The 18,194-nt window shown below is 48.9% G+C and overlaps 2 long non-coding RNA genes and 1 pseudogene across 17 annotated transcripts in view, besides 2 other annotated features; 2 read left to right on the top strand and 1 right to left on the bottom strand.

Annotated features, from left to right (window-relative positions):
• Positions 1–18: 18 nt before the first annotated feature.
• DDX11L17 (DEAD/H-box helicase 11 like 17 (pseudogene)) lies at positions 19–2,509 on the bottom strand (annotated as a pseudogene). Its single transcript, NR_148357.1, has 3 exons — positions 2,151–2,509; positions 1,657–1,765; positions 19–1,157 (listed from the first exon to the last, which is right to left on the bottom strand). The product of NR_148357.1 is annotated as a DEAD/H-box helicase 11 like 17 (pseudogene) (transcript).
• A 2,282-nt stretch (positions 2,510–4,791) lies between these two features.
• On the top strand, positions 4,792–7,589 carry LOC124903814 (uncharacterized). Of its 3 annotated transcripts, none has more exons than XR_007065332.1 (2): positions 4,792–7,215; positions 7,312–7,589. It is a non-coding gene; the product is annotated as an uncharacterized LOC124903814 (long non-coding RNA). The 3 variants fall into 3 exon arrangements; XR_007065333.1 differs by having other exon boundaries at positions 7,309–7,589; XR_007065334.1 differs by having other exon boundaries at positions 4,792–7,219; positions 7,309–7,589.
• A 2,061-nt stretch (positions 7,590–9,650) lies between these two features.
• Positions 9,651–18,194, top strand: part of LOC124900384 (uncharacterized) — a 54,398-nt gene continuing 45,854 nt past the window's right edge. For all 13 annotated transcript variants that reach the window (XR_001737579.3, XR_007065328.1, XR_007065325.1 and 10 more), the window contains exons 1-4: positions 9,651–11,144; positions 12,209–12,340; positions 15,633–15,848; positions 16,732–16,797. This is a non-coding gene — a long non-coding RNA (uncharacterized LOC124900384). The remainder of the gene's footprint in view (positions 11,145–12,208; positions 12,341–15,632; positions 15,849–16,731; positions 16,798–18,194) is intronic.
• Positions 11,690–12,190: an enhancer, noted in NCBI's record as "H3K4me1 hESC enhancer chr1:172707-173207 (GRCh37/hg19 assembly coordinates)". NCBI's record gives its function as "activates a minimal SCP1, AML or CMV promoter by ChIP-STARR-seq in primed H9 embryonic stem cells {active_cell/tissue: H9 hESC(primed)}" and the evidence as "EXISTENCE:reporter gene assay evidence [ECO:0000049][PMID:30033119]".
• Positions 12,191–12,691: an enhancer, noted in NCBI's record as "H3K4me1 hESC enhancer chr1:172206-172706 (GRCh37/hg19 assembly coordinates)". NCBI's record gives its function as "activates a minimal SCP1, AML or CMV promoter by ChIP-STARR-seq in primed H9 embryonic stem cells {active_cell/tissue: H9 hESC(primed)}" and the evidence as "EXISTENCE:reporter gene assay evidence [ECO:0000049][PMID:30033119]".

Raw genomic sequence — 18,194 nt, 5'->3', positions numbered from 1 at the left:
GATCTCTAGCTGTGCAGGATGCAAACGTCTCGGGGTCAGTGACTGCCTCCTGCCCCTGTTGGTCCCTAGGCAGTGGGGGCAGAAGCTCCCAGCTGACCTGTTTCTCTGGGATGAGAGGGAGGAGAGAAGGGCAGTCAGCAGGGGCAGCTGTTGCAGATGGGAGGAATAGTCTCCCACAAAAAAGGTTTCAGTGACAGACACGGGGTCTCTAAAAATAGTCATGCTGAGAGCCTAATGGCCCTTGGCACAATTGCTGGTGTTGGGGTAGAAGATGTCTTGGAGTTTGCTCAAGTGGTTGAGAGGGAGGGAGGTGCCATCGACTTGGAGGAACTGGCACCAAGCCAGGGAGATAGAAATCCAGGCAAGGCTGTGGGGCAGGTTAGGGAGCAAGGCTGCAGGAGTGACTCAGGAAGAAGGTGGGGAGGTGACAAGCCCCCAGGCAGGGGCCCTGTGGCCATGGGGATCTTCTTAAATTGAGACTAGGGGGTGAATAGTCCAGGGCAGCTAACTTTAGTTATTATAGAAAGGGCAGTAGCAGATGGGTCTGCTCCGTCTCGCTTCTAAGAAGGTGGGCAGGACAAATGGCAGCCTCCTGCAGAGGCCCAGTGAGAAGCCTGGCCCTCGGCCACGCAGGATGGAAGACAGATTGGATTCCACAGAGGGGAGCTGCCCTGGGAAGATCTCACGGATGGCCAGGACCCACCATTTCTTCGGGATTCCCGTTTTCTCCAACGGGCACTAATGCCTGTGCCTGGGTCCTGGCAACACTCTGGACTCCACACTCTCCTGGGTTTCACCTTTGTAGCAGGATCCCTGCAGACCAGGCCCATGACAAACACCGTCTCCAGCGGGCAGAGCAAAGGAAGGGCACAGCGCCAGGCAGTGGTGCAGCTGCCTGTCAGGAAGAGGCCTACTTCTGGTGAAACTGGGCAGACAAAAGGCAGTGAGAAATGTGATCTCGGGGTGGTGGAGGCTCTAGGGAAAGGAAAAGGCAGGAGTGAACTTCCACACAGCAGCAATGGCAGAACCAAAGGTGGCTTTGACCTCCACGAGGGCTCAGATCCAGGCCAACAGCATGTCCAGGACAGGGTGCCGGGTGTATCACTGGTCCAGGAGCACTATGCTGGCAGAATCCCTTTGGTGCCTGATGGCCCTGCCTTCGTGGGAACAGAGGCTAAGGCTTTGAGTTACAGCTGCCTCCCCAACAGTGCATCCCCTTCTCCTTCCTCAGCCTCAGGTAGGAGACAGGGCAGGCAACCCCCCTTTCCTCTTCTCCCCTTCTCCAGCCCCTGTCTGTCGACCCAGCTGGAGGCAGCCAGGCTTGCCTATGGACTGGTTGACAGCCTTCATGCACAGGTTCTCCACCAGAGCCTTTCTTGGGGGCCCCTGGCCTGGGCTCTGAGCTGGGAGTGAAGGGGATGACCCATGCAGACTGTTTGCTGCTTGTAGCTTTCCCTGGGAAAGACTCTGCCAGGCCTTGGAGCCAGACTAGGAGGCTTTATAGGCCACCGCAAGCAGCAGGGCTCCAGATGACATCACAGGGAAGATCAAGAGGGTGTGGAGGGGCATCGAAGCCTCTCCAGGAGACAGGAGATGCCGGCCCCGTAGAGCCCTAGGGGCGACGCCACTCCCACTCACTGTCTACTCTCCTCTCACCTCTGCAACACTGGGGACACTCACAAGAGTGTGATCCAAGTCGGCCGTCGTCTTCTGCAGCTCTGGAGACCTGATGCTGGGGAAGGGCATGCCTGGCATCACCACACACCTGGGGGGAGACAGGAGCCTGGGGCCGGTGGGCCCACACATCACCAGCTGCTCCGTTCTACCATTTCTTCAGCCCTCTTGGCTGTGCCTGCGGCTCTGCCCCTCCCGTCTCTGCACCTACCACCCAGAGAGGGCTTGTTGAGCTCAGAGATCCCACCTAGGCCAATCCACTGGGTTCTGTGGCAGCGATGGCCTGCCTGATCTTCCACCTGCTCTCCCAGGGCCAAAGGTAGACCTGCTGAGCCCCTCCCTCCAGCCGGCTGGTCTGAGCAGTCACAGCCCGGCTTTGGGCTCCGATGGCAGCAGACGGCAGGTAGGGGTCCAGCTGCTGGAGCGAGGGCTGGCCATGTATCACAGCCAAGGAGATGAGCACAAGCACTACTTACTGGCCTAGGTTGTGAGAGAAGTTGATGCTGTCACTCATCTTTCCTCCAATCTTTCCCCTATGCCTGGTTGTGGTATTAAGTTACATGCAGACAACAGGGGCCAGAAGATGAACAATGGCCCATCCCACTCTAGGCATGGCTCCTCTCCACAGGAAAACTCCACTCCAGTGCTCAGCTTGCACCCTGGCACAGGCCAGCAGTTGCTGGAAGTCAGACACCTGCAGATGAAGACCACAGCATCAAGACCCTGTGACCTCTCAAAGGCCCGGTGGAAAGGACACGGGAAGTCTGGGCTAAGAGACAGCAAATACACATGAACAGAAAGAAGAGGTCAAAGAAAAGGCTGACGGCAAGTTAACGAAAAGAAAAATGGTGAATGATACCCGGTGCTGGCAATCTCGTTTAAACTACATGCAGGAACAGCAAAGGAAATCCGGCAAATTTGCGCAGTCATTCTCAACACCGGCCATGCAGCAAAATCATCAGTGGAAATTTAAAAAAATACACATGGCCAGGCCCCAGCCCAAATCACTAATAAGAATCTCCAGGGCTTCACCTGTTAGACTGGCAAAAATCCAAAAGTAAACACTTTGTGGAGAAACAGGCATTCCTAGACATTGCTGGTGGGATACAGAACAGTACAATTCTGATAGTAATCAGTTAACAAATTAAACATATTTATTTTATACTTTTAAACCCAGGAATCCCATATTTAGGAGCCTACTGAGACCAAACAGCATATGCTCCGGGTGTTTCCCTATAATCCGCCACTACTGTTGGAGCAAGAGGGCCCGGCAGTGTCCCCAGCTGCCAGCAGGCGGGCGTGCTGCCACTACACCTTGAGCAAGAGGACCCTGCAATGTCCCTAGCTGCCAGCAGGCGGCGTGCCACCACTATACAGTAAGCAAGAGGGCCCTGCAGTGCCCCGGCGCCAGCAGGGGGCGCTGGCCACCACTCTAAGCAAGAGAGCCCTGCAGTTGCCCTAGTCGCCAGCAGGGGGCGCCCTGGCACAGCACCGTGAGCAAGCGGGTCCTGTAGTGCCCGGCTGCAAGCAAGGGGCTGTCGATCCCGGCGTTTCGGATTACTGAGGTTCCACCCGTCTCTGCGCCGCGCCGCCGTGACGTGAGTTTCTGCGCGTGCACGGCGCCCCCCCCCCCCCCCCCGCCCCCAGCCCGGCGCCGTGCGACTTTGCTCCTGTAACACACGCCCCCCCCAACCCCGCCCGTAGGCGTGCGTCTCTGCGCCTGCGCCACGCCTCCACCCCCTGGACGCGCTAGCATGTGTCTCTGCGCCTGCGGCAGCACGGCGCGCCTCTCTGCGCCTGCGCCACGCCTCCTCCCCTGGGCGCGCTAGCATGTGTCTCTGCGCCTGTGCCACGCCTCCTCCCCTGGACGCGCTAGCATGTGTCTCTGCGCCTGCGCCGGCGCGGCGCGCCTCTCTGCGCCTGCGCCGGCGCGGCGCGCCTCTCTGCGCCTGCGCCGGCCCGGCGCGCCTCTCTGCGCCTGCGCCGGCGAGGCGCGCCTCTCTGCGCCTGCGCCGGCGCGGCGCGCCTCTCTGCGCCTGCGCCGGCGCGGCGCGCCTCTCTGCGCCTGCGCCGGCGGAGTTGCGTTCTCCTCAGCACAGACCCGGAGAGTACCGCGAGGGCGGAGCTGCGTTGTCCTCTGCACAGATTTCGGTGGTACTCTGAAGGCGGAGCACAGTTCTCCTCAGGTCAGACCCGGGCGGGCGGGCCGGCTGAGGGTACCGCGAGGGTTAGGGTTAGGGTTAGGGTTAGGGTTAGGGTTAGGGGTTAGGGGTTAGGGTTAGGGTTAGGGTTAGGGTTAGGGTTTAGGGTTTAGGGTTAGGGTTAGGGTTAGGGTTAGGGTTAGGGTTAGGGTTGTTAGGGTTAGGGTTAGGGTTGTTAGGGTTAGGGTTAGGGTTAGGGTTAGGGTTAGGGTTAGGGTGTTAGGGTTAGGGTTAGGGTTAGGGTTAGGGTTAGGGTTAGGGTTAGGGTTAGGGCTAGAGTTAGGGTTGGGTTAGGGTTGGGTTAGGGTAGGGTTAGGGTTAGGGGTTAGGGGTTAGGGTTTGGGTTCGGGTTTGGGTTATGGTTAGGGTTCGGGTTCAGGTTCGGATTTAGGGTTCAGGTTTATGGTTCGGGTTAGGGTTCAGGTTAGGGTTTGGGTTGGGTTTAGGGTTAGGGTTTAGGGTTAGGGTTTGGGTTAGGGGTTAGGGGTTAGGGTTAGGGGTGAGGGTGAGGGTGAGGATGAGGGTTAAGGTTTAAGGGTTAAGGGTTAGGGGTTAGGGTTAAGGGTCAGGGTCAGGGGTTAGGGTCAAGGGTTAGGGTCAAGGGTTAGGGTTAGGGGTTAAGAGTTAGGGGTTAGGGATTATGGTTTGGGTGAGGGTGAGGTGTGAGGGTGAGGATGAGGGTTAGCGTTTTAGGGTTATGGTTAGGGTTAAGGGTTAGGGCTAGCGGTTAGGGGTTAAGGGTTAGGGGTAGGATAAGGGTAAGGATTAGGGTTAGGGTCAGGGTAAGGGTAAGGGTAAGGATTAGGGTTAGGATTAGGGTAAGGGTAAGGGTTATGGTTAGGGTTTTAGGGTTAGGGTTAGGGGTTAGGGGTTAGGGTTAGGGTTAGGGTTAGGATTAGGGTTAGGATTAGGGGTTAGGGTTAGGGTTAGGGTACTGTAAATAATTTCACATTATTACTAATAATAAATTATTATTTGTATTACACTATTACATAATGTAAAGGCTATTAAGACATGTTTGTCTTCAAAGAATGGCCTTGGTTTCTGTGGGCAGTGCCTCCTCATGGAAGGGTAATGCATTCCTGCTAAATCATGGACAAAACGGGCTTCCAGGAGCTACAGGCTGCAGCAGCAGCTCCTCCTCTAAGTCCTTCACTGCCTCAAACTCTTGTTGACTTTGTAAGCTTCTTTCAGTCTAGTTTTTTCAACAGAGCTAGTATTTCATGAGGTTCTACTACATACCAGGTTCCAGAAATCTAAATGCCTTTTGTTTGTTATTTTTCACTAAATACAAATCACAACTCTCTCCTCATTACTCACACAACAAAATTTAGCTGAGGGAGATTGAGTGACTTTCCTAGGGTCACATAGCTACTAAGAGCAGAGCCGTGTTTAGATTCATGTGGGAATATTGAACACAGAAATGAACCAGTGGAAACATCCTGTGTTCCAAAAGCCTACTCAAGCCATTTGTTCTTATTTTAAGGAAAATCTTTATGCTAATTTTAAACTCCAAATACTTATGAATGGCAGAGATCTACAGATTTGATTCTGATGTAAGAAATGATGGTCACCAGCCGGTTACTGCTACCACCCCACAACCCCGAGCATACTGGACGAATGTCTAAGCCTTGTGGTTAGTGGGGACAATGCTGGTGGAGTCTGAAGTTGTCATGCAGTGACTCATGCAAGCTTAGGCAGATTTGGTGATATATGACACAGAGATGCAAAGAAATGTTGTAGCTGACACACACAGGCTGGCTCTGGGAGATGCAGAAGGAGCACGTCACCCAAAATAGAGCCAGACAGACATCCTTAAGGAAGGAGCAAAGGGGCTGCATCTTAAAGAATGTAGAAAGGATTTGTCATGAGAGATGGGGCAGGAAGTTCTTCAGAGGCAGAGGGAGAGCATGAGAATGTTGGGAAGGGAGGAGAGATTCTTGCACATCTGGGAAGCTGACAATCCATCAGCATGGCCAGAAGGAAAATAAGGAGGAGGAGCAGAAATAGATGAGGCTGGATATAGAAGCAGGGCTGAAGCTGTGTCGATTGTGGTAAAGAGTTGTGATTCTATCCAGAACGCAATAGGTAGCATTCTAAACAGAGATCTTTTAAAACAAGAGTCAGCAAGTATTTTCTGCAGGGGGCTAAATGTTAAATATTTTAAGTTTTCCAAGCCATATGGTCTCTCTCTCAATGACTCAGCTCTTCCATTATACCATGAAAGTAGCCAGAGACATTATGTAACACATGTATTGGCTGTGTCCCATTACAACTTTACTTACAAATGCAGACTGTGTCAGACATGGTCCATGCATGGTAGTTTGCCACACCCTGTTTTAGAAAGCTCAGGTTTATGATGTGATGGAGAATGCCTACAAGAGCTCTTGTTTTAAATGGTAGAGTGAACATACACTGGAATTCTATCCTGCTTGACCCAAGCTCTTGATAGCGAAAGGTAGAAAAGATAGATGGTAAATAGATAGATAGATGATAGATAAAGAAAATACATAGCTGTTCCAGAAAACAGAAATGGATAACTTCATGAACCAAAAGCAGAGTAATATGCTTTAGAAAGGAAGCAGGCCGGAAAACCCACAGTTGCAAAACAAATAGAATTTCCAACTGCCTCTTGTAGCCCCTTCCTGGAAGTAGTCACAGCCCAGGGTGTTCGACTACTTCCTCTGTTTTTTGTTTGTTTGTTGTTTGCTTTTCTGTGGGGTTTCTGTTGTTGTTGTTTGCTTTTAAAAAAAAATTCCCTTTCCCTGCTTTTTTGTCACAGCAGCCTTTGTCACTTCAAACACCGCAAGTGTTCTTTAAAAAAAATTATATCAACCTTTCAATTAAAATGCAACATGTCTGAAAGTTGGTATCTGGAGAGGTGAGTTGGACGAAGGAGCCCTTGTTACTGCACGTTTTCATTCTTCAAATTTCACCTTGCACGCAGTAACAGACAGTGCACAAAGCCACTTCCTTATGGACGGAAATTCTGAAATCCTTTTATGCCTGGCCTTTCCATCCTTCAACTTCCCCTCTCCCACGCTGTGAATGATTGTATTGGACATTTTTGTTTTAATGTCAGTGACAGGGGAACACAGGTAGCTCTAATATAGCTGTGACCCAGATGCTTCTGTTTCTAGCATGTATTTATTTTGTAGCAAACATTTACATCCATGATGTTTCACTGTCTTTTGAAAATAATTAGGCAATATCTCATCTGAGGTAGGATGTTTCTAGGGGTTGTGTTCTGAGGGAGGAAAACTAATCTGTTCTCTTTCCACTGCATTCTAGGAACAGTAAGAGGACCTTGTGCATGAATAATTTGTTTCCACACTACAGAGTGGGTAATAAGCAGACTAGTAAAAACAATTCTGCTTCACTTCAATAACAGCCTCCTCCAACTCATTTTTTCTCAACAAACTTATTTTTCCAGCAGAAGAATCCCAGACTTCTTAGAGAACCCAGTGACTTTTTGCACCTTAAATCTGTGAAATCCTCATGTTTTCTTCTGCCGTATCCATAGTTCAAACAAAGATGAGGCAAAGCTAGACGCATTCCTGAAGGAACCCAAGAAATTCCTCTCTTTCTTTCTCTGGAATGAAATGAATTCTCTAGACCACCAGTTCTAACCTTCAAAAACCAAACCTGTTTGTGAGATCTTCAAATACTACTGTAGACCCCAGTGTTTATTCATTAAATTTTTTAAATATTTGTTTTATTTGGAATCAAAGTATTTGTAATTTTAGTGTTTGTATTAATATCAGGGAGAAATGTTTAAATCTGTCTTATGCCATATGTGCCTCTGGCTTATTGCCCAATTAATTGTAGTCTCAGGCTAAACTTTGGTTTCTGTCTTTAATTTTTGTCAGAAGAAATATAACTGATCTCAAAACATCTGCTTTTATTGTAGGGGCTCGTGCTGCCGTCTCCATTCTTCTCTCTTTTCTTGCAATCTGGGTGGAAGTTCTTTAATATGAACATTTCAACCACCTTCATTCTACCATGTCCACTATCAGCACATTCAAACTGATCCAGCCAAGGCTGTCATCTTAGGCCAGGGATTTTTTAGGAATCTATTTTGCTGTGATGCGGCTGGCACCCCTTTGACTCACTGTATCACCCCAGGGTTCTTTTCATTTCAGAAGCCCAAGAGGGCAGAAAAAGAAGTAGGTGAGCAATTAAACACTCTGAGTCAGGAGCGTCTCCCCTTGCGTTAAGCAATGTTGTAGAACATCGATGTTCTACATCGATGTTGGTGACCTTGGTACCATTTTGTCCACTTGATTGGAAAAGCCAGTCAATAATTTCAGGTCACTGTTGGCCTTAGAAGAAGAGCCCAAAGGCAACAAGCAAAGGCGCTGGTGTCCAGTCGCCTTCTAGAAGCATTTTCACTTTCCCTTAAGGTTTCCCTTGATGAACATAGAAGTACTGTATGTAGAATTGACCCAGTGCTGCCCTGGCAACTTTGTATATTAGGCCAAATTTACATTTCTTACCTTTATGAGAGGCACCCTGGTAGGCTAGTGGAGTTACACACAAAGTCTGATCTCAGCTGCACTGTCCAGAAATGCAACACGGTCCAATCAAATAACATTCTCTGAGCCTGTTTCTTTAGCTGTGAAAGAAGAATAACATACCCATCTAAAAAGTCAGCTTATTGTATTTGATTGGTCTTTTATTTTCTATGAAACTGTGTTTAACACAGTAATTATCTTCATTTGTGTACTACATTTGTGTTGTGTTTTTGGTTTTAGTTTTGTTTTTGAAATGGAGTCTTTTTTTTAGTGGTTTTTTGTTTTGTTTTGTTTTGTTTTGTTTTTGAGATGGAGTCTTTCTATTGTCACCCAGGCTAGAGTGCAGTGGCGTGATCTCCGCTCACTGCAACCTCCACCTCCCAGGTTCAAGTGGTTCTCCTGCCTCAGCCTCCTGAGAAGCTGGGATTACAGGTGCCCACCACCATGCCCAGCTAATTTTTAAAATATATTTTTAGTAGAGATGGGGTTACAACATGTTGCCCGGGCTGGTCTCAAACTACTGACGTCAAGTGATCCACCTGCCTTGGCTTCCCAAAGTGCTGGGATTATAGGCATGAGCCACCGCGCCTGGCTTGTTTTAAAATAAGGGTTTCTTGGCTAGGCATGGTGGCTCACACCTGTAATCCCAGCACTTTGGGAGGCCAAGGTCAGTGGATCACCTGAGGTCAGGAGTTCGAGACCAGCCTGACCAATATGGAGAAACCCTGTCTCAACTGAAAATACAAAATTAGCCAGGCGTGGTGGTGCATGCCTGTAATCCCAGCTACTCAGGAGGCTGAGGAAGGAGAATTGCTTGAACCCAGGGGGCAGAGATTGCAGTGAGCTGAGATCGCACCATTGCACTCCAGCCTGGGCAACGAGCAAAACTCTGTCTCAAAATAAAAAAAAGATTTCTTAAAATGATATTTTCAGTATTTTATAGATGATGTGTAAGCAGCAAGCTTAATAGGATGTTACCCGACACTTTGCGAGACTGGCAGCTGATTTGATCCAGATGTCTCTAATTCTTTTTTCTTTTTCTTTTTCTGTTTTTTTTTTTTGACAGAGCCTTGCTCCGTCCCCCATGCTGGAGTGCAGTGGCACGATCTCGGCTCACTGCAACCTCCACCTCCCGGGTTCAAGCGATTCTCCTGCCTCAGGCTCCCGAGTAGCTGGGATTACAGGCGCGCGCCACCATGCCCAGCTAATTTTTTGTATTTTTGGTAGAGACAGCATTTCACCATGTTGGCCAGGCTGGTCTCGAACTCCTGACCTTAGGTGATCTGCCTGCCTCGGCTTCCCAAAGTGTTAGGATTACAGGCGTCAGCCACTGTGCCTGGCCCAGATGTCTCTAATTCTAACATGAGATGTATTGCAGGATCATAGCAGAGTGAGTTGCTGATGTATCCAGAAGGAAACGAGCATGGAACACTCACGACAGCTGTCCTGAGAAGTGTGTGTGTGCTGTGCTTGAATATCTCACTGCTCATTTATACACAGGCTTTCTGGTGACTGAGTTAACAGTATCTGTTTCATAAATAATGTAGCCCTCTTTCTTTCTTTCTCTCTCTCTCTTTTTTTTTTTTTTTTTTTTTTTTTTTTTTTGAGACAGGGTCTTGCTCTGCTACCCAGGCTGGAGTGCAATGGTGCAGTCTCAGCTCACTGCAACTTCACCATGCCTGGCTAATTTTTTCTTTTTTTTTTTTTTGAGACGGAGTTTCGCTGTTTTTGCCCAGGCTGGAGTGCAATGGCACAATCTCGGCTCACCACAATCTTTGCCTTTTGGGTTCAAGGGATTCTCCTGCCTCAGCCTCCCGAGTAGCTGGGATTACAGGCATGTGCCACCACACCCGGCTAATGTTGTAGTTTTAGTAGAGACGGGGTTTCCCTATGTTGGTTAGGCTGGTCTCAAACTCCTGACCTCAGGTGATCTACCCGCCTCGGCCTCTCAAAGTGCTGGGATCACAGGCGTGAGCCATCACTCCTGGCCTAATTTTTGTATTTTTAGTAGAGAGAGGGTTTCACTCTGTTGGCCAGGCTGGTCTCGAATTCCTGACCTCAAGTTATCTGCCTGCCTTGGCCTCCCAAACTGTTGGAATTACAGGCATGAACCACCATGCCTGGCCAGCTCTATTTCTTTAAGCCTACATGTTTTGCACTTGTTAAAAGTATTTGAACATACAATTACTCAGCTTCCCTTGTTTACGCGTGAATTTTGTAGAATCTTAAATATTTTTTCCAATCTAAGCTTTATTTTATCCCGTTTCTTCTATATTTGTATAACTTTAGGCGGCTATCTTCATTGAAAGTTTTTTCTCAAAAGCCTTAAGATAGAACGTAGTTCTTGGCAGCAATTTGAAAGTTATTTGAGGAGAAGGGGAGACTTACAATGATGATTCAAATGAAGGAAACTAAAAAGTAATGAAGCAAGGCAGAGGAAAAAGCAGTACTCACTTGAGCACATCCCAAAAGAATAACATTTCAAATGTAACTAGAAAAAAGTATGCTGAAGTTCGCAATACAGAAATAATTATTAATAAGATAGCTTTAAAGCCCTGCTCAGCTTTTGAATGTTGGGAATTGACCCAGAGGTGGCTGTAACCTAAGATGGTTCCTTCAGTAATGACCATTTTTTCTTTTTCAAGATGATGATTATTCCCCACCTTCTAAGAGACAAAGACCAACGAGCCACCACAGCCACCAGTCCCAGAACCTGCCAATGCTGGGGAACGGAAAATGAGGGAGTTCAACTCTGGTAAGTTCTCAGCGAAATCCATGACCTTTTCCTTTATCTTCTGTACTCTCAGTGTGACTGATGAAAGTTACCACATGCTCTGCAGGGGGAAATGGTTTAGCATGTGTTACTACATCTTAATCACATCTTTGTAAAGCCAGGAGCATTTTACAAGTCACGTTACAGACATTGTTTAAACATAGTCTGTATTTACCAAAGTATAGGACATTGTATCATCTCATATTAATTAGTTAGTTGGCTCAAAATTAGTGCTAATGACTTAGTAATTCAGTGATTTCTGTTAGCTTTAAAACCTTTATTTCAGAACTATTTCACCTCTTGGTTTTCATTTTTGCGGTGTGTCACTGCCTGCTGGCTGCTAATTTATTAACTCCCAGTGAATCATGTCCTGTGAAGGGACTGAATATTAGTGGCAATGTATGTTGATGATTTGTATTTTGAATAAATAGTTTGAATACATAGAACATTAAGCTTGTATACATTTTGAAAATAGTATTTTAATATTCTACTGTGTCATAGTTACAATGATTGGATATATATTGAATTTATATGTACTTTAAGTTGTTATATGTTTATGGTTTTTAGCATTCTAACGTGCAATTGTATATCTGTTAAGTCTTTTTTATTTTCGAGATTAGACTGATTTATTGAGGCGTCTGTTTGATGCCACATTAAGTGGCCCAGGCTTTGTGTAGGGGTTGAGGTTAAAGCAGGAAGAAGGGTGGTGAGAGGCGGGGCACCAGGGTTAGGTTGGAATACCTGGGGGTGCTCTGAGGCTCCCCAAGTTTCCCTGGTCTTGGCCGGCTGTGCTGCTGGCCTGGGCATCTGATGGGCCTGCAAGGGTGGTCCAGGGGCTAGGGCAGGGACTTTGGAGTCACGCCGTTGGCTTTGAATCCAGACTCCTACACTTGGTAGCTGTGAACTCTCCATGCCTCAGGGACCTGCAGAACTGAGCTCTGTCTGAGCCAGGTTCCATCCAGGCACTGCGCATCCATCCAGAGGGGCACTGCCTCAGGCTGCTCGCTGTTCACTGCCTTCTCAAGCAGACCCTTGTCTCCTTCTAGGCCCTCACAATCCAGTGGAGGAGACGAAACTCATCTGCCTCTGTCCCTCTGGGCACGCCTCATGCCAGGTGCATCTGTGGACAGGGGCCATGCCCCTGGGCTTCCAAAGTTGGAGAGAGCTGCCAGGCTCAGGTGGGTACATCACAGCAGCTGCTGCCCTCTGAACACAGTGACAAAAGAACACTCTGGGCCTGGAGCCCTGGTCTGGGGCATTGGGCAAGGCTGTTGCACTTCTCTGATCCCATTTCCCCATCTGGAAAGTGCGCTGATTGTATCTCCCTGTGGGCACTGAGGGCTCAGTGTTAGTTTGAGAGCCAGCATCTGGGGTTTGGGCTGTAATTCCCCGTCAGCCCCATAGCTGCGGGGAACCAGGGACTTTGTTGGGATTACCCTAGGCATCAGTTTAGCTTCCTGCCCCTGGCTTGGGCTCAGCACCTGAAGTAGTCTAGGGGGTAGGTGGTGCTGGTGGGGGCTGGGGCTTTTACCCAGACTGAGGTCACACCCAGAGCCAGAAGTCTTGGTGCCTGCTCTGGGCAAAGGTGCCAGCCTGTGTGACAAGAGCGAAACTCCGTCTCCAAAACAAAAACAAAAAACCTTGCATCATTTCAAGGGGCTCACACCTCCCTAAGGGCCTGGTAATTGGCTGGCTCTGGCCTGCATCTGGCCCCGAGGGTGTAGGTAACACCCCACCTTACCTGGTTTCTTCCTGCCAGGGCCAATCTTCAGACCTCAGGACTTTACAGCCTATCCCACCTCCCCTCTGGCCAGCCTTGAGCCCTTGTGGGTCCAGCACTTTTTCCAGGCTGTCTCCTGGTTGTCCTTCTGCCTCGAGGCCTGGCTCATGCTGTTCCCCCTCCCACTCTCCAAGACCCACAAGGACCACTCCACACCCAGCTCAGCCCCGTCCCCTCAGATAGTCCTTTCTCTTTCCTCAGGTGGCCAGGTGCATATCTTGGTGTGAGGACCTTCGCTGTATCTGGGAATGCCTACTGGTTACCTTGGTAACAGAGAACAAGGCATTTACCTGATATGAGTGTCTTGGTTCACTGTCTACATGGCTAGGGAGGGAATCAATAATAGGCTTTTCACTTGCTGCAAGGGCCGGTTCTCCTGGCCCCATGGCTCTAGGGATGGAGGACGCTGCAGGAGATGCAGCGCTTACTTCCTAGCTGAGGACTGTGGGTCATCTCAGGGCGATTTCACAGTCCCCACATGCCCCACCCCCTCAGCTCTGCAAATACCAAGCAGTGCAGCCTGCCTAGGGGATGATGGGCTCGAGAGTGCCCAGGTAGTGCCCAGAGTGCCCTTGGCAGGCCCCTCACCTGGCTGCTTCCACAGCTCTGTAGCAAGAGTTCTAACCTTTTTTCACCGTGAAGCCTGCTGAGAATAAGAGCTGTGGACTGTTTTCCCAGAAAGGCATGTACATGCTCTCCACACAAAACCTTTCATCGTGGCCAAGCACAGTGGCTGATGTGATCCCAGAACTTTGGGAGGCGGAGCCAGTCGGATCACCTGAGGTCAGGAGTTCAAGACCAGCCTGCCCAACATGGCGAAACCCTGTCTCTACTAAAAATACAAAAAATTAGCCAGGCGTGGTGGCAGCCACCTGTAATCCCAGCTACTCCAGAGGCTGAGGCAGGAGAATCACTTGAACCTGGGAGGCGCAGGTTGTAGTGTGGTGAGATCACGCCACTGCACTCCAGCCTGGGCGACAGGAGCGAAACTCTGTCTCAAAAAACAAAACAAAACAAAACCTTGCATCCTTTCAGGGGGCTCACACCTCCCTAAGGGCCCAGTAATTAAACCCTTTGGGCCTGAGGGTGAGAAACTTTGTCTCAGTTCTTCCCCAAGTGATCAGCCCAGGGGTAAGGAAGGAGAAGCCAGAAAGCAGGACCCATGAGAAGGGCCCCCTCCTGGAGTTTGAGGCCCACTCCCTCCTGCCCCTGCCTCTCCTCTGTGCAGGACTCCTCCCTGCTCTGCCCCACTCCTGGGGCCATAACCATGGGGAGCTGTGGTTTTCTACAGGCCCCTGGGCACAAAGTGGGCAGGCTCACGTGGAGGCGATCAGAGTAACATGGCAGGAAGTGAGGGGGAAAGCCGCCCTGGAACTGCGCCTCTCTGCCCCCTGACGTCACTGGCGTGCACTCCTCCCTCCCCTCAGGCAGTGGCATGAGTTCCATGTGAGCGCTCTCCTGCTCCCTCTGCTGCCTCTTTTTTTTCTTGGGGCTGCCATAACACTTTCCCTTCCCCAGCCCTGCCAACCTGGTGGGACATTGGGCTTCCCTCTCACAGGGTCCTGGGGACAGGCCCATCCTTTATCATACCCACAGAGAGACCGTTTTTTTCTTCAGAACCTGGGGAGCAGCCAGGTTCCATGAGTTAAATGCAGATCTGAACCAAGCTGGGATTGGGGTACACACTCTCCTCTACTGAAAAGTAGCTAGGGATTCCAACTAGGTGAGAAGGAGAGTGGGGCAGAGCCAGACCAGACAAGGACTGATCACCTGGAAAAAGCCTGCCATCAAAGGTCTTGGCAAATGCTGGGTGCAGTGGCTCACTCCTATAATAGCAGCACTTTGCGGGGCTGAGACAGGTGGACTACTTGAGGCAAGGAGTTCGAGTCCAGCCTGGGCAACATGGCAAAACCGCATCTCTACTAGAAATACAAAAATTAGCTAGGCATGCTACACTCCTGTCATCCCAGCTACTCAGGAGACTGAGGCAGGAGAATCACTTGAACTGGGGAGGCAGAGGTCGAAGTGAGCCGAGATTGTGCCCCTGCACTCCAGTCTGGGAGACAGAGTGAAACTGGCCTCAAAAAAAAAAAAAGAATATGGCCTTGGCAGAGAGGGGCCAGCCCAGTAGTGCCTTCCCTTGGGTTTCTCCTGGGTAGGCCTCTGCCATGAGGAGGTGCTTCCTTCTGCCTGTCCGTGGCCCACAGCAATGGAATGTCTGTTTCTGGGGGTTGGGTGGGAGAGTGCTGGCAGAACTGGAAACCTTCAGGTGGGGTTTTTTTGTTTTGTTTTGTTTTCGAGATGGAGCGTCGCTCTGTCACCCAGGCTGGAGTGCAGTGGTGGAATCTCAGTTCACTGCAACCTCTGCCCCCCTGGGTTCAAACAATTCTCCTGTCTCAGCCTCCTGAGTAGCTGAGATTACAGGCATGTGCCACCATGCCCGGCTAGTTTTTGTATTTTTTGTATAGATGGCATTTCACCATGTTGGCTGGGCTGGTCTCGAACTCCTGACCTCAAGTGATCCACCCATCTCGGCCTCCCAAAGTGCTGGGATTACAGGCATGAGCCACTGAGCCCAGCCCCTTCAGGGGGGTTTTGAGGCTTCACTACAATACTAGTTTCCTGTGGCTGCTGCAACAAATTACCACACACTTAGTGACTTAAAACAACCAAAATGTATTCCCTTACAGGTCTGAAGGCCAGAATTCTACAGTAAGTCCTACTGAGTCAAGGTGGGAGCAGGGTCGGTAGCTTCCGAGGCTCTGCGGGAGAATCCGTTTCCTGGCCGTAGAGGTGGCCTGCACTCCGCAGCTTGTGCTGCCCGTCTCGAATGACTGGAGTTTCCTGCTTCTGTCACTACACCTCCCACCCTCTCCATCACCTGCTCTGCTCTTACAAGGATCCGAGTGAGTACATCAACCCCAAAAGCCAAAGACCCTTAACTTCATTATATCTGCAAAGTTCCTTTTGCCATATAAGGTCATGTTCACTAGTTCCCGGGATTAGGATATGGGCATCTTGGGGGCATCAGCCTGCTACAGCTAGGCTGCAAAACTGTTACACCCTCCTGGTGTTTCAATGATTGGGAGAAAAAGGGTTGGCATTTTTTGCTTAGGGGTCCCTCTTAAACTTGTATCTGTAAGGTCGGGGGTCCCTCTTAACCTTGTGTTTTTGTTTTTGTTTTTTTTGAGGTGGAGTCTTGCTCTGTCATCCAGGCTGGCAGTGGCGTGATCTTGGCTCACTGCAATGTCTGCCTCCTGGGTTCAGGTGATTCTCCTGCCTCAGCCTCCTGAGTAGCTGGGACTACAGGCGCCCGCCACCATGCCCTGCTGTTTTGTATTTTTGGTAGGGACGGGGTGGGGGTGGGGCTAGGGAGGGGGGTTTTGGCTATGTTGCCCTGAGCTCAAAGTGATCCGCCTGCCTCTGCTGCCAAAGTGCTGGGATTACAGGCCTGCACCACTGCACCCGGCTGCTGTAAAGTCTTATTTCACACAGCTGAGACATGTTTTAGGAAGTTTGCTAAAAGACCCCTGGAGACCGCCTCATTGTGACCTCCCTGTTATTGTGTTTAATTTGATTGAGCTTTTCTGCCCTCCTGCTTTTCAGCTTCTCTAATAGTCTCCCATTAAACCAATTCTAAGAACCACCAAGAAGGGGAAATTTTTTCTTGAAAGCAGTAAAATGATATGGACTGTTAGAATGTAAAATATATGAAATCAGTCATTATATGTTAGTGCTGCTCTGACATAGGGACGTGTTATTGAGAAGCAACTTTTGCTTGGTTTTCAGAGAAATGGAATCATCGTATCGCTGATCTACGTAAACAAACTGAAGAATTGTCTGAAAGAAAATATGGTATGTCTAAACTGGAAAAGTCTTGTAATCTTAGGTTCATGGGCGTTTACACAGTGGAGTTACTGTTCATCATGGGGGTACCGTGGACAATCCCAGGGCTGCCGGCGAGTCATGCCATCCTTACATGTTTCTCCTTGTAAGGTGCTTTGTAGTGTCTACACACTTTGTTTCTAGATTGCTGCAAAGCTGAGGAAAAGTTGTATTTCTTTAGTTATTAGTTAGCATTTCTTTTAAACTTTCAGTATGGAGATTGGAAATTTATTTACATATTTATTGCAAAGCCCTGGATCTTAGGAATTTCATTGAATTATTTATTTATTTTTTTTGAGACGGAGCCTCACTCTGTCGCCCAGGCTGGAGTGCAGTGGCACGATCTCGGCTCACTGCAACCTCCGCCTCCCGGGTTCAAGCAGTTCTCTGCCTCAGCCTCCCGAGCAGCTAGGATTACAGGCACCAGCCACCACGCCTGGCTGATTTTTGTATTTTTAGTAGAGACGGGGTTTCATGATCTTGGCTAGGCTGGTCTTGAACTGCTGACCTCCTGATCCACTCACCTCAGCCTCCCAAAGTGCTGGGATTATAGGTGTGAGCCACCATGCCTGGCCAAATATTATTTTTTTAAATGAATTGTTTCTCTTAGTCTGCTTTGTTAAATTTGGAATTCATCTGGGCGTGGTGGCTCACACCTGTAATCCCAGCACTTTGGGAGGCCAAGGCAGGCAGATATCTAGGTCGGGAGTTCGAGACCAGCCTGACCAACATGGAGAAACCCCGTCTCTACTAAAAATACAAAATTAGACGGGTGTGGTGGCGCATGTCTGTAATCCCAGCTATTCGGGAGGCCAAGGCAGGAGAATCGCTTGAACCCAGGAGGCAGAGGTTGCAGTGAGGCGAGGTTGGCACCATTGCACTGTAGCCTGGGCAAAAAGAGCAAAACTCCATCTCAAAATAAATAAATAAATAAAATGTTCAGTACTCACCAAGGTGCCCCTGTTGTCTCTACTTTTATCTTGATGCATCACTGAATTGATGTTAGATTTCAAATTCATCATTACACTGATACTATTCTATCCTGAAGCCACCTTTATATAGTGATGAAAGAAATTAGCGATTTGTTATTATCCTCTCTCTGTTGGTATATATCAAATACTCACCTAAAAAAGAGCAACAACCAGTGGAAAACATGATGTTTTTATTTGGGTGACTATTTACTTGTAACCTACTAGCAAACTATAAAATTGTATGATATGCAGAATTTTAACTGAATTGCTTTAAGTGAACATTTAAACATGATAAACAATATTGATGGTATTTATGTTAATATACTTAAAATGAACATTTTTCTTCATCATGAGTAATATAACCTACTCCTCAATGAAAACCTAGCACTAAATTTG

Source organism: Homo sapiens, chromosome 1 (genome assembly GCF_000001405.40).
Source record: "Homo sapiens chromosome 1, GRCh38.p14 Primary Assembly".
Classification (NCBI taxonomy): domain Eukaryota; kingdom Metazoa; phylum Chordata; class Mammalia; order Primates; family Hominidae; genus Homo; species Homo sapiens.
The sequence above is the reverse complement of the archived record's forward strand: the minus strand, read 5'-3'. Positions and strand labels throughout refer to the sequence as shown.